The 15,624-nt window shown below is 35.5% G+C and overlaps 1 protein-coding gene across 5 annotated transcripts in view; it reads right to left on the bottom strand.

The window, feature by feature from the left end:
- CIMIP6 (ciliary microtubule inner protein 6) overlaps nucleotides 1–15,624 on the bottom strand; it is a 53,310-nt gene that overhangs the window by 22,402 nt on the left and 15,284 nt on the right. For 3 of the 5 annotated variants that reach the window (NM_001100396.2, NM_001369401.1, NM_001369403.1), the window contains 2 exons: nucleotides 2,718–2,833; nucleotides 211–1,589 (listed from right to left, as the gene is read on the bottom strand). In NM_001100396.2, the coding sequence (NP_001093866.1) occupies nucleotides 1,230–1,589; nucleotides 2,718–2,833 (476 nt within the window). In that variant the 3' untranslated portion in view covers nucleotides 211–1,229. Of the gene's footprint in view, nucleotides 1–210; nucleotides 1,590–2,717; nucleotides 2,834–15,624 lie in introns of those variants that run through there. The other 2 variants (XM_047443325.1, XM_024452687.2) reach the window with 1 other exon arrangement.

Raw genomic sequence — 15,624 nt, 5'->3', positions numbered from 1 at the left:
CTCCCTTCCCTGTCTTCATACCAAAACTTGCATTCTAATTTTTCCAATTTTATAGTAGTATACCTATGGTGTTGAAGACTATGGAGCTATTAAAATAACAAGGTTGCCTACATATGTTGACAAGGAAAGATCTCCAAGATATACATTGGAGATATATATGTGGCAAGAACTAGAAGTCCCCAACACAAAAAAATATAATGACATTCATTATTTTGCAGTTTATCACAATTTCTTTAATGGAGAATAAATGGATAAAGATATAGCTGTAGTCTTATCAATACTGCAGATAATAGTGAGCAGCTGATATTTCCCAATGGAAATTTGTAAATACTCTTTATAACAGAGGAATACTCCACCTACTTCCACTTGTATGCAATATAACATATCTTATAATAGATACATTTTGGCACACCAAACACACCAAATTGGAAGTAGAATTAATCCTTACCAAACTCATCCAAAAAGCAAAGGTTGAGTTGGTGCTAGAAATGATCTGAGTAAAATAGAAAACAATTTAGAAAATACTTCAATATTCTAAGTACCCATATGTCTTTGAATTAAGTGTGTATGTGTCTGTGCATCTTGTACTGGCAGAAGTATTTTTAGATTTTCACACTTTTAATTATATATGGAGGAGTTCTAAGTTTTAGAATAATGAGGAAAAATTAAATATATAAGAGAACATTATCCTTAAATTGAAAATTGAATTATAGTAGCAGTGATGATATGATTACATTGACCACTTACTGATCAATGTGCATAATCACATCCTCAATAATCTTACGAAGTTGCTATTTTCCTAATTTTACAGTTGAGAAAACTGAAGTCTAGAGAGGTTAAGTTACTTACCCAAGGTCACACAGCTCAAGGAATGAAGTGAAGCCAACATTCCAACTCTAGTTTGTTTGATTCCAAAGCTGTCCACTCATGTCTAACAGGGCCTCTCTTCTAAAAGTATTATATTTGTTAATTACGATCATGTGTTGTGCAAAACAAAGTTGTGTTCATAAAGAATGTGACATAGAAATAATGTCTCACTCCACTTATTGGAGACCACTCTTATTAATAACATTTGGTTGTATTTTAATTGTCTTTTTTCTCTTTTTCCATTTACATAAATTGTATGTTCTGAAGTTACTGATAACAGAAAAGTAAATGTGAGGGCCAAGATGATGATTGTGAAATTTCCCTATATTCCAGGGATTAGATTTTTATCTGAAGAAGGTAATTTATTCTGATTTTTTAATTGGTGGATTTAAAGGCTTGTGCCTAGTGAAAAGAGCATCTCCTACAGTTGTTTGAGTGGCGCCTGAGGTCTTTTCTCTGCTCTCAGGAGTGCTGGGGCATGCCTTGGCTGCCTGTCTGACGTCTGTTTCTGATAAGTGAGTTTTAGGCTCTAACAGCTCCTGAGAATTTTGTTGGCAGAGACCTGGTGAGATCATTCTGCTTTCCGCTGAGTTTCCTTTCTCTGTTTTTTTGGACTGTTCTGATGAACGTGACCCTGGAGTGTTCAGTAATACCTCTGCTCCTTTAGGAACTGTTGGCCTACTGCCTGGTTTTATCTCTCTCTGTACAAAAGCTCCGTGTCTCTGGAAAAGAAAACAAAGTCGACATTAACCAGGAGAACGCAGATTGCTGGAAGATGCAGCTGTGAACTGAATTTGTGCGTTAGCTCAAGTCCTAGTCAGTGATGCAGGCACTTCTCTGCCTCTTCATTGGTGTCACCTCAGTCCCAAACTAGACACCACCATATATGGGTGAACCTTTTAAATTATAAAATAGGGTGCATCAGAAAATGAACAGGAAGGAAAAAGGCAGAATGTCAAAGAAGTAGCAGCTCATCTCCCATTCTCAACTTTTTTATCATTTGGACTGTTTAAGACTATTCACATCAAATTTCATTTCTTGCTCTAAAGATTGCTATGGATACAACAAAAACTACAGTTCATAGACCTAAGAATTTATGATTGCATCCCAAATGCCTATTAACGCTGATGAAAAGCTAAGTAATAATAAAATATGAAAGCAAACATCTATAGTTGGAAAAAAATCCAATAATTGACAATTACATTTCTATTTGGCTTTATAAACCTTACATGCATCTCCCTGCCACACACATGTATTAAGCATATCAAAACATTTGTCAAACTGCTTTGATATTATTACTATTATTATTATTATTATTATTATTATTGTTATTAGAAATGAGACTTGCTATGTTGCCCAGGCTGGCCTCAAACTCAAGTGATCCTCCTACCTCAGCTTCCAGAGTAGCTGGGACTACAGGCGTCAAGTCACTGTGCCCAGCATGCTTTGATATTATTTTACACAAATTATTTCAATAATTTAAGTAGACCAAATTCCAAAGACTGATTCAAATTATTATGTTTGGATTGATTGATTGAGATGAGGTTTCATTGTGTCACCCAGGCTGGAATGCAGTGGTGCAATTACGGCTCACTGCAGCCTCGAACTCCTGGGCTCAAGCAACTCTCCCACCTCACCCACCTGAGTAGCTGGGACTACAGGTGGCACCACCATACCAGGATAGTATTATTCCTTACATTTTACTATGGTATGTGGCTAACATTCTATCCTATTAATAACTGAAGTAGTTTGTTTAAATAGACAGAAAGATAATTATGACTTGAAAAAGCTTAAAGTTCTACAAATCTACTCTGTCTTAAAGTATTAAATAATTCTAAATACTGCCTCACCTTTCCCTGGAGAGGCTCATTCGGAGTTTTTCTGGCATCATATTGATGTATAAAAGAGATGTATTCTATAAAATTGTTTTGAAGTTCTGCTGATGTACCAGGAGAGGCAAGTGGTACTAAAAAAAAGATTTTGTGAAGTCAGGACAAAAAATTAGATTTGTTTATGGACATATAATCAGTATTAATAATATAAAATATGGTAACAAAACTAAATTCTTGAAGTATGCAAGATTATTTACACAATCTAAATAATAAATAGAATGGATTCACCATTCTTTCTTCATGAAAAGAGCCAAATCAAAACAACCAAATTAGCCCCACGTGTGGAATTATTAGTAATTTTTAAAACTAAAATTAATATTAATACAACAATATGGTCAGGCATGGTGGCTCATTCCTGTAATCCCAGCATGCCCTGGGAGGAGGCCAAGACAGGAGGATTGCTTGAGCCCAGGAGTTTGAGGACTAGCCTGGGGAACATGGTGAAACCCCATCTCTACAAAAAATAAGCCAGGCGTGGTGGCATGTGCCTATAATCCCAGCTGTTTGGAAGGCTGAGGTGGGAGGATCGCTTGAGCCCAAAAGTTCAAGGCTGCAGTGAGCCATGACTGCACCACTGTGCTTCAGCCTGGGCGAAAGAGAGATCTTGTCTCATTAAGGAAAAAAAAAAAAATTGTTAGATATGCTTTTTACACAGATACCAATACATTTTAGGGAAAACATAACTATAATTTGTTAACTTTTCACGACTAGAAAGAGTATGAGAAATTCTATGTTGAATCTATAGTTTGGCCAGTGGCTGTGGCCACAGGGTAGAAATTGTATGCCGAAGCTAGCACTAATGGAATTGGAAGACTCTAGGGCTGCTGCAGTTGTAGTTGAACACATAATTCTTTTCATTTCGCCCAATAACAGGGGTTCTGAAAAATTTGCAAGAGTATGAAATCCTTTAAAAATCACTTCTAAATAATCTTTCAATCTGGGTGATGAGTATATGAGTTCATTATATTGGTCTGTGCTCCATGTATGTTTAACATCTTAAATAATTTTTAAAACTCAGTTTTACTTTCAGCAGAGAAGGTTATTTAAAGATCAGAGCAACTTTCAGTACTGTTGCTGGCAATAAAAAAAGTTTAGTGAAGTAAAATTCTATCAAGGACAAAAATTTCTCCCTTAAAAAATATGTATGTGGCTGGGCGCAGTAGCCCACGCCTGTAATCCCAGCACTTTGGGAGGCAGAGGCAGGCAGATCACAAGGTCAAGAGATCGAGACCATCCTGGCCAACATGGTGAAAACCCCGTCTCTACTAAAAATACAAAAAAAAAAAAAATTAGCTGGGCGTGGTGGTGAACGCCTATAGTCCCAGCTACTCAGGAGGGTGAGGCTGGAGAATCACTTGAACCTGGGAGGCAGAGGTTCCAGTGAGCCAAAATCGCGCCACTGCACTCCAGCCTGGGTGACAGAGCAAGACTGTGTCTCAAAAAAAAAAAAAAAAAGTACGTAAGAGTTTATGTACAACGAACATATCTGTGAAATGCTATGTAACAAACTGGTAACAGTGGTGACTGTAGGGAAAGAGAACTGGGTGACTGGAGGACAGAGGTGGGGAGAAGTAGATTCAGTTTTCACTGTATATCTTTTTGTACCATTTGAATTTTGTGCCATATGCTTATATCAACTGTTAAAAAATAAAATTTAACTTTTAAAAATCACACCTTTAAAATTAGAGGAATACATAAGAAAAAATGTTAGTAAATTTACATGTATTAAGCATTCATGAATTCACTTTGATATTCAGACATTGTTATAAACTAATTTTATTAGCAAGCATGACTAATATTCAAATACTTATACATTACATGTTACAAAATGGCAATCTTTTCCCAGTTAGCAGTATAAAAAAAGTTAACTGTTAACATTTTCTTGATTTCTAATTGCAATCAACTGCTCAAAACTCATTTTCTACTTAATCATTACCTTTCTTTTAGAACTTGCTAGAAAACAGAAAACAGTAGTGCAAAGATTTAATAAGCATGACACTGAGAAAATTCTATCTATAATTTATATTTTTTTCCACCAAGTGGGAAAAGATGACCATTTTTTTTATGAATATCATGGTCCAACTCACAGAACATTAGTATGTGCGGACACAGTTTCATAACTTCGTGTATAGACAGAATGAAGCGGCTCTAAATTTAGGCATTAATTAGGTGGTGGTAATGAAGTATCCAAAGCATGCATTTGGTAATAAAATAGACATGTTTTCAAATTCTGGCTTTACCACATTTCCTAGTTGTGTGACTTTGAAATAAATCACTGAACTTCATTGAAATTCTATTTCCTCCTCTCTAAAATGAAGAAAACAATAATTTGCTTTTTGAATTGTGAAAATTAAGGGCAGTGTTTGTGAAGTCTCTAGGATGCTAGGGTCAAATTATGGAGTCTTCAAAGTTAGCAAAGGGCCAGCTCTTTTGTATCTTGACAAAAGGGGAAACCATGGAAGGGAAAAGGAAGCAGGAACCGGAGCTACCAAAAAAAAACTGTGAGAAACCCAAAGGCTTTAGTGAACTGGTACGAAGGGTTGGTGGCAATTTGGACTGGAGGGTAGGAAGGTCAGATGTAGCCAAGAAGAATAAGTTGTGGGAGAGCTTTTAAAATCTGCTCTTGACTTTCCCTCACATTGCCTTGGGAAGATCATGCTTGCCCAGGGCCACAGAAACTGGCAGCAACTGCCTAGCCAGTTGTTGTCAATACAGTAATAGCAGAAGCGCGCAGAAGTCCCTCCAGGATAACGAGCTGATGAAAATGGGTACATGTTGCCCCCTTGGGCATTTCTTCCTCCAACATTCCCCCAGCAACCGTCAATGCTGGTGAATTAAAAACATCAAGATACTGACTTATCTCAGTGATGCCTTTTTTTTTTTTTTTTTAACAGTTTAAGGGTGGTAGGGTGGATTCCTGACTACATGACCAGCCTAGTAGAGTGACAGTAATTAACAATGGTCTAAATAGGTTTTGTGATACCAGAAGCTCTCTGGCCTGAGCCTCATTTTCTTTCCTCAAATTTAGTGGGAGACATACAAACCAGACCCTGGTCTTCAGCCTTTGTCTGCACAGGCCTACTGATTCCCCTAGGGGAATATGATCTACCATAAATTTGACCATAAAAGAAAATTTTAAAACATATACTGTGTGAAGGAGAATTATCAGAACCAATATACCAAGAATTTAAAATAAGCATAACAAATATCCTCAAAGATACAGAACAAAGTATTGTTAATACGAACAAGAACAGGTCATAAAAAGGAATAACAAAAAATGTTAGAAATAAAAAATATAACAGTTGAAACAAAAAAATACATGGTCTAGACAACAAGAATCATGAACTAGAAAATCAGACTGAGAAGCTGTCCCAGAAGGCAGCAGGAAAGGATAAAGAAATAAAGAAAAGCTCAGAGACATGGAAGGTGGAAGTATCAACACCAGAACTAAGAAGAAATAGAGGGAAGGGAAGGAAATATTTGAGAAAATGATGATGATATATATCCAAGAATTAAAGAAAGCTCAAACACCTCAGATTGAAAGAGCTCACAGAATACCAAACAGGTAGCAGGGGCAGGAGAAAAATGAGGCAATGAGACACAAAGGATGCAAAACTTTAAGGAGGCACTTGCATGACCCTGGGAGTGAGTGCCTCCTTAAATTTTACACCCTAGTTGGGTTTCTCACTCTCCTCTCGATCTTGCAGTACAGATAAAGGAAAAACTCGCATCTAAGACATTTAATAGAGAAATTTAACATCATCTGGGACAAAGAAAAATTATAAATGCTTTCAAAGAGGTAAATTATGAAGGAGTAACAACAGGTTAATATCAAATTTCTCAATAGCAACATTGGACACAAGATAATTAATTTTTTTAATATTAAAAGGAAAAGCACTTTAAGCCTAGAGTTTTTATATCCAACCAAATTTTCATTTAACTGTGAAGCCAAAATTTCAAAAACATGGGAAGGAAAGGAAGGCCTCAGATGATTTCCCCCCAAAACAGACCTACTTTGAAAAACTAGAGGAAGAATTCAAGACTAGAAATAAATCAAAGAGGATGTCTGATATATAAGGAAGAAAATAACAAAAATTTTTGTTTCCTGAAAAAGATAAGGATTAAAGAACAGAAAATTCTAAGTATTATACCTGTAAAAACTCAGAACTAAAATTCTATTGTTTAACATTAATGGAGCCCCTGGTGAATACTATAAAAAAGAAAAAAGTAGTACAATGATTACAAAGGAGGAAAAAAAAAGTAATTGTAGGTAATATAATTACCTGAATAGAAAAACCACAAGAGTCCATCAATTATGAGAATAAGAGTATGGCAAAGTAAACAGACATCGGATAAATGTATAAAAATCAAAAATCAAGAGCATTTCTCTACAATAGTGATAACCTACTAGAAGATATAATGAAAAATAACATATATTCTTAGTAGAAACAGAAACTATATAGTATGAAGTTTCTAGAAATTAAAAAAGCATTCACAAGATCTCTATAGAGAAAAAATTTAAATTCTGTTAAAGACCTAAAAGTAGAACTGAATAGACATTCTATGCTCTTGAATAGGATGATAGCATTTTATTATAATGGTGACTTTTTCCTAAATTAATATATAATGTCACCACAACCTAATCAAAATTCTAGCTGGATATTTTGAGCAATGTCATACATTTCAATGTTTAAATAGAAAAATAAATCCCATAAATCAGCTCTGAAGGAAGGGTGAATAATTGAGACTTTCCATATCAGATATTAAGACCAGCTAAAAATCCATATAATTAAAATATTTTGGTACTGATCCAGGAACTGAAAATTAACCTGAGTAACGTAACAGAGAGCTTGCAGACAAACTCATTTATATATGGAATCTTAACATAAAATTAAGGAGGTCCTATAAGTAAATGGGAAAAGTGCAGATTATTTTATAAATGGTTTTCAGAAAAGTGGTTCACTCTATGCTGGAAAGTGGAATTGATTCCCTACTTAATAGTGCGCGCATGGTGGACTCTAAGATTAAAGACCTAATTATGGAAGGTAAAAGTATAAAATCAAGATAAGAAAATGTAGGAGAAAACTTTCTTTACCTAAGGGTAGGAAAAACCCTTCTTAAAACAGCCAGTACACAACCCATAAGGTAAAAACTTGATTATATTAAAAAACATAGGAGAACTGCTCGATGAAAGACACCATGGGCAAAGCTAATAGAGATGGCAGATTGGAAGGAGATATTTGTAACGTGGGAACTAATGGGACAGAACATCAGTGGTAATTTCAGAGTTAAGGACCTTTGAAAAAGCTGCTCCTCCACAAAAGCAATGAATACACTGGCAAAAGTCATCAAAATCAACTTTTTTAGAACTCTGGAGATTAACGAAAGGCATGCAATAATCTAAGGAGCATTTATTCAAGAAAAATGGCTTAATCTTCATAATAAAAGCAAGTTTGATGACATTTTAACTCATGCAGTTTCCCCCTCCCCCCACTCCCAATCTCCCCTCTGCAGAAGCCTTGAAAACCAAGAGCCCTGCAATTATGATGAAAACCAGAAGCCTATCAACTACTGGAAGAAGCGGAAGGGGTTTGGAGTGTCTCACAAATACCAACTCAAGAGAACTGTCACTATTTAACCTGGCCTGCAGGGTTCGTCTTTATAGACATGACTCAGAGCCCTAAAAGTGAATTATGCACCCCTGCCACCCTGCCCTTGCCTCACCCCACGACCAAGTATTCATCCGAAACAATCAGGGACGGTTGTTTAACATTACAGCTGCCTAAGGTGACAGTAACAGTTGGGGCAAATAAGCTGCCCCAAACTGGAAATGTATATGCTATGCTTTCTATTGGGTTAAAATCAGATGACAGCAATTTCCACATCTGAAAAATCCTCAGACAACAGAGTTTACATCTACCTACTGCAAGGAGATCTACATAAGATGAATTTAAGTTATAGTGATGTTTTAGTAAGTGAACTGCGTAAAGCAAAATCTGTCATCATTAAAAGCCCTCTGGAAGGAGCAGGACAGTGGAGATTTTGTTGGTCAGAGGAGTCGAAATTTCAGTTAGAAAGGAACAGTAAGTTTAAAAGATCTAATGTACAGTTGGTGCTCTCTATCCATAGGTTCTGTATCCACATATTCAACCAACTATGGATTAAAACTTTTCAGGAAAAATAAACCACAAAAATAATACAAATAAAAAACACGATAACAACTATTTGCATGGCATTTACATTGTATTAAGTATTCTAAGTAATCTAGAGATTAAAGTATATGGGAAGATGTGCGTAGGTTATATGCAAATACTACACTACTTTATATAAGGAACTTGAACATCTGTGGATTTTGGTATCCACAGGGGTCCTGAAACCAATCCCCTGGTTACTGAGGGATGACTGTGCAACAAGGTAACCATAGTTAATGTATTGTACTCTTGAAAATTGCTAAAATAATAGATTTTAAGTGTTCTCACCATAAAAATAATGTATGTGAGGTAATAAACATCTTAATTAGCCACTTCACAATGTATATTTCAAAACATCATGTTGTAAGGATGTTTTGTATAGATACAAACAATTTTTGTTTGTCAGTTAACACTGTCTGTAATAATCACAATAATACCTAGCCATGGATCAGATTAAATACAAATAGCATATCAGACAATTTTTCTTATAGTGTAACAAGTAAAGACTGGTTATAGAGTGGCTTCTTTTCAAAACCAATATAAAACAAATTTAATGCTTTACTAATACTCAAAACCAATTTTCTGGGATTTACACACTACTAAAGTAAATGGTTGGTAAACCTTTTTAATTCTGGGAAACTTTGGGATTAAATATAGAGATGAGAAAGCAAAGAAAGTTAAACCTGTAATTTGTTATTTAGTACATTATGTCAAAAAAATTTTGATCAAATACTAGTGTTGTGCTGACAATTTTAGGGAAATCTGATTAAGTTTATAAACAGTATTAAAATATTTAAGATATCTGAGTTTATTAGATTTACAAGGTTTTGCAAGTTTTCTTAGGTTTTTTTTTCTTCTTGTGGAACAGGGCTGCTCCATAGGTAGTAAGCCCACAGTAGCCACAAGGTTTATTAGGTTTTATAAGATTTATTAGGTTTAATTTATTGAATTTATAGAAATTATTTAAGGATTTGGAAATGTTTTGATTGTCAAAGCTTTAAGTTTTTCTTGTAAAGATGTTTGAAGTATTTGAGAAGAAAACAGAATATAGTAACTATTATTTTTTAAAGTTTTAAGTTCAGGGGTACATGTGCAAGTTTGTTATGTATAGGTAAGCTTGTCTCATGGGGGTTTGTTGTACAGATTATTCTATCACCCAGGTGTTAAGCCTAGTACCCATTAGTTATTTTTCCTGATTATCTCCCTCCTCCCACCCTCCACCATCCAACAGGCCCTAGTGTCTGTTGTTCCCTTGTGTCCATGTGTTTTCATCATTTAGCTCCCACTTATAAGAACAAGTGGTATTTGGTTTTTTTGTTCCTGCGTTAGTTTGCTAAGGATAATGGCCTCCAGCTCCATCCATGTTCCTGCAAAGGACCAGATCTCATTCCTTTTTATGGCTGCATAGTGTTCCACGGTGTATATGTGCCACATTTTCTTTAAGCAGTCTACAGTTGATGGGCATTTAGGTTGATTCCATGTCTTTGCTATTGTGAATAGTGCTGCAATGAACATATGCATGCATGTGTCTTTATTTATATTCCTTTGGGTATATACCCAGTAATGTGATTGCTGGTTGAATGGTAGTTCTGGAAAACAGAACATAATTAAATCAACAAACTTGCAATTTAAAATGCTAACAGAATTTAATTGACTTTGTTTCGTAAATGAGTCATTGTTAAGGTATATTTCATTTGTTCAACTTGAGTTAAATGTCAAACAAGTGAAAGATGCTGTTCTTATTTTATACAGTATTTAAAAATTAAAGACTTGAAACATATTTTTCAAATTTATAATGTTCAAACTGGAATATTTAAATCATAAGTAACTATGAATACCTTTTTATATAGAAAGGCTCTCTTTGAAATTAAAAATCTTATACTGAAACAGATTACCCTCAAAGAATTTGAACTGCCTGCAGACTTGACATAACAATAAAATCCAGGAGACAGTGGAGTAATATCTTCAAAGTGTAAAGGGTAATTAATTGTGAACCCAGAATTCTGCATTTAGCTGTGCTTTCATTCATTAAAGAGTGTGGGCAACTTAAAGACATTTTCAGACAATGAAAGATGAAGAGTTGGCTACTCCTAAACTCTCATTTAAATGACTGTTGAAGGGTATTGTGGTAGTCTGTTAAATTGGTGGCCCCAATGAATCAGGCCTCCCAGTATTCAAATCCTTATATAGTCCCCTCCCCGTAAATGTGGGCTGGTCTTGTGATTAGCTTTAACCAACAGGATATGACAGAGGTAACACTATGCCAGTACTAGCCATAAACTTTAAGAAAGCCTTATAGCTTCTGCTTTTGCATTCTTGGGAGTAAGAAGTCCAGCTACCCTGCTGGAGAAACCACGTGGAGTGACCACCTGGAGAAGGAGAGGCCCAGTCATTCCTGCATCCCAGCTGAGTCCCGTCCTCAGTCCATCTGCCAAGTGAATGTGGCCACACAAGTGACCATCACTGACCAGACCAAGAACTACCCAGCTGAACTCAGCCAAGATTGCAGAACATTGAGCTAATAAGATGATTGTTGTTTTAAGCAATTAAATTTGAGGTAGCTTGTTATGCAAATAACTAAAACAAATATTTCAGAAGGAAGTCAAATCAATTAAAATGAATCTTTTAAATAGTAATCTAAAACCTTCCATAATCTCACAAATAATAACTTTAAAAATAATTCTCTGGCTGGGTATGGTGGCTCACGCCTGTAATCCCAGCACTTTGGGAGGCCAAGGCAGGTGGATCACCTGAGGTCAGGAGTTCAAGAGTAGCCTGGCCAACTTGGTGAAACCCTGTCTCTACTAAAAAATATTTTTAAAAAATTAGCCGGGCATGATGGTGGGTGCCTGTAATCCCAGCTACTCAGGAGGCTGAGGCAGGAGAATCTCTTGAGCCCGGGAGACAGAGGTTGCAGTGAGCCGAGATCACGCCACTTGCCCTCCAGCCTGGGCGACAGAGCGAGACTCCGTCTCAAAAAAAAAAAAAAAAAGATTTCTTTTTCATCACGGAAATAAAGGGGGGAGAAAGGAATCTGAGTTATTATAAAGGGAAATTCCTTATTCAGGCATTACACCTATTAAAATTAAACATAATGACTGTGTTCATTTATACAGGCATATGAGACATTTACAGAAGCCCACAATAGTGAGGAATATCTAAACATGAAAACATCAAAGAAGATATTCAGATTGTTAGTGGTTACTCTACTTAAGAATTCAAATTGTACCCAAAGTAATTACTTGAAAGAAGCCTCATTTGATGAGAACTGCAAAAAATAAGGCAAAGTCCATGAAGAATGTTTGAAATCCACTCTCTGTTTCTTGGAAACTTGATCTAATTAAAATTAGAATTTTCTAAACAAGTTGCTATCTAACCATTTATATTTTATCAGCAAAGCCAGGATTTATTCAAACATACAATTTGCTGCTTCTATTGGTGAGAACTTAGGAGTTTTACTTTGAGAAATGTTCTTTTCTTAATTCTTTGTGTCTGCTTAAAGATCATTCACCAGTAATATTTTTCTCTTAAATCCCACTCTTCTCAGTATTCTGATCTTATATATAAAGACTATTAATATAAAAATAATAGTATAGATTTTCAAAATACAGTAAAAAGAAAAAAGCATAACTGTAGCAAAAAATTGTTGTTACATTTTGGTGCAAAAGAAGCAACACAAACTAAAACCTATTTTAGAAAATTAATTTTACCACTATATCTGAATTTGCAATTCAAAAGAACATTGAAATATCAAGTTGTTGATAATCAGCAAGGTTTTATTTAAGTACGAAATACCCCCTTCACATATTAGATTAGGCTTTCCAATTTATAAAGTTTTATTATATAAAACCAAATGTGAACACTTATTCTTACAGGGACTCAAATATGATGGAGCATAGCTGTTTGTTAACTGACTGTGGATGGCAGCCAGGAAATTGTGTGTGGTAGAAGACATAAAGAGCACTTTGAATTGTCGGCACAAGATAACATTGCTGAAATGCCAAAGTCCAGGCGTAATTAAGTGGGCTGATGGAACAGAATGACTATGAGATGACTTTTAATTGGTATTAGTGCATATTTATATGCACATATTAGTGCATGTTTATGTGCATGTTCATATGCTTATGGTAAAAAATCTGGCACATATAGACTAGTTTATATACATATTTTTAAATGTTACATTAAAATATTTTGTTTTTTAAAAATCACTTTCATCTAATATCCAAATACCTGAAATATGAATAAATTGCAGGCCTATATTGTGCAGTACATGTTACTTTAAATTACATTATGACTTTGTTGAAGAATGTATAATTATCATTTAACTAATAAATATTTATTGAATCTGGGCATTGTACTAGACCCTAGGATACAATAATGAACTTGGCCATGAGAAATACCAACAAAAGAACAGAGAAAGAAAAAGAAATACCAATAAAAGAACAGAGAGAGAATCATGCCAGGTTCTTGAGCTAAATTTCAACTCAACACATAACCTAGTACAATGCAATAACTGATAATAGAAACAGTTACCATTTATTGTCTACTATGTAGCAAACACTGTGTTGGGCACTTTACGTGTTGTTTCTCACAACAATCCTGCAAAGTAGGAATTATTCTCACTTCATAAATTGAGCAAAACAGGATGATTAAATTTAATGGGTTCAGGTTCACATAATACTAAGTTTAATACTGAACCAATATTATAAAAGAAGTGTTGATGGTGACAAAGTTGCTGTGATTTCCAGTTAAACATGGCAAATTCAATGTGCATTTCCCCCATTCTTTCCCCAAGCCCCAGTACAATCACACTACAGAAATTTAAGAGGGCTTACGTCCTTAAGGAAGAAAAGAACTAAATAAGAGTGAAGATTTTAACAAATTTGGAAGCTGGAAAACAGATGGATAAGTAGCAATAGACTCAAGTAAACTGCAGAAAACTGGAAGTTAAGTGCTATGGGGGAAGGGAATGGGGTAAAAATTAAGCCAATTAATGCCACAGCATTCCAGGAGTGCCTGGGAATCGGGAGGCATCACATACCTCTGAGGCAGGGAGCATGGGGCAGCGGGACAAGGTGATGTTGCAGAGGACTGCTTATGGGACTCCTGGATTTTCTGTCCTCCATCCTAGGCAGAGGTTTGGAGGATTTCTCTCTGGGCAAATTAAGTAGATCTACAGACCCTGATTTTGGGGGATCCCTTATGAAATGACTGAGCCCTGCCTTATGAACCCAGAAAAAGCCCATCGCTCCAGTGTCATCTTTCACCACTCTTCTACATCCCTTCAACTTGAGTAGCTGAAGTACCATAACTGCTCGTTATGTGGAAGGGACTGGTTGGCTACCAAAGAAAGTTAAAGCAAAAAATCATATGCCATATGTAGATACATATTTTAACCAGTTCATCAAATTTTTATTGGCATGCCAAGCCATTTTCTTTGAGGAGGTGTCCACTGACTGGAATTCCACTTTGTGTTTCTTGTACAAACCACACTTCTAATGCATCATTTCCAGTTTCTATTTCTTTCACACAGAATGAAAATGTAAAGACAAATTTCAAGCAAAATGAATGCAAAATCCTTCAAGATTTTAAAAATTCAGTCCAACTCCTCTTAGTTATTTTGCCTATACCTAAGTAGCATTTTTTAAAGTTAGCAATTGACCTTTTATCAAGTCTGTACATTCAATTTTGAATGTTTTATAGAAACAACTGTTTTCTTTTCTTATTCAGATTTTAATTTACAAGAATATATAATTAAAATATGGAAATACAGTAACAAGTACATAGACATAAATCTGGTTTGGAAACAAGCTTAACTTTCAGAGAGTGTCTCTACCTCCTTGGTCTGAGTTATATTCTCTGTCTCTAAATCCTCACATTATGAGCAATAGAAGATAATGTAGGTAAATTTGACAGATCAAAAAGGGCCGTGTAGGCCATAGTGAGGAATTTGAAATTTATTCTATGAACGTTGAGAAGTAACTGGAGAATCTAAAGGAGGAGAATATCACATGTGTTTTTAAAAAGATCCTTTGACAATGATGCAGAAAACATATATGGAGAAAGAAGAAAGGAAGCAGGGTAATAGCAGCTGTACTGCACTGGTTACAGTGAAGATGGAAAGGAATAGATTTGGGGTCTATTTTGGAGATAGAGGTGTCACAATTTGCTGATGGATTGAATGTGGGGGCAGGGAGTGAAAGGAGAGAGTTTTATAATGCCTTCTAGCTTATCAAAACTTGAACACCTGGTGGGAGAGTGGAGGTGGCATTCACTGAGATGGAGAAGACTAGTGGAGGATAAGTTTGGATGGAGGAAATGAAACATTCTATTCCAGCCATATCAGGTTTGAAAAGGTGACTAGCTATCCAAGAGGAGATGTTAAGTAGGTGTTTGGATATGTGAACTTGAAGCTCAGTAAATAAGCCAGGGTTAGAGAAATTTGGTTTTTAGACTGGTTCCTTTGACCTTTCACCTTAAACATCTATTCCTTGTTTCACCCCCACTGGATAGTATCAACTGATTACCTATATTGCAAATAATGATGTTAGCACCCTTCTTCTCTTCTACTTCTCATCTTCTATCAGTTGTGCACTTACTTTTCTTATTAAAGCTGCTAAGATACATTCTGTTGTGTAACCATATTTAAACTCGTGTCTATAGATTGAGCCTAA

Source organism: Homo sapiens, chromosome 2 (genome assembly GCF_000001405.40).
Source record: "Homo sapiens chromosome 2, GRCh38.p14 Primary Assembly".
Taxonomy (NCBI): domain Eukaryota; kingdom Metazoa; phylum Chordata; class Mammalia; order Primates; family Hominidae; genus Homo; species Homo sapiens.
This window is presented reverse-complemented; position numbering and strand designations above follow the sequence as displayed.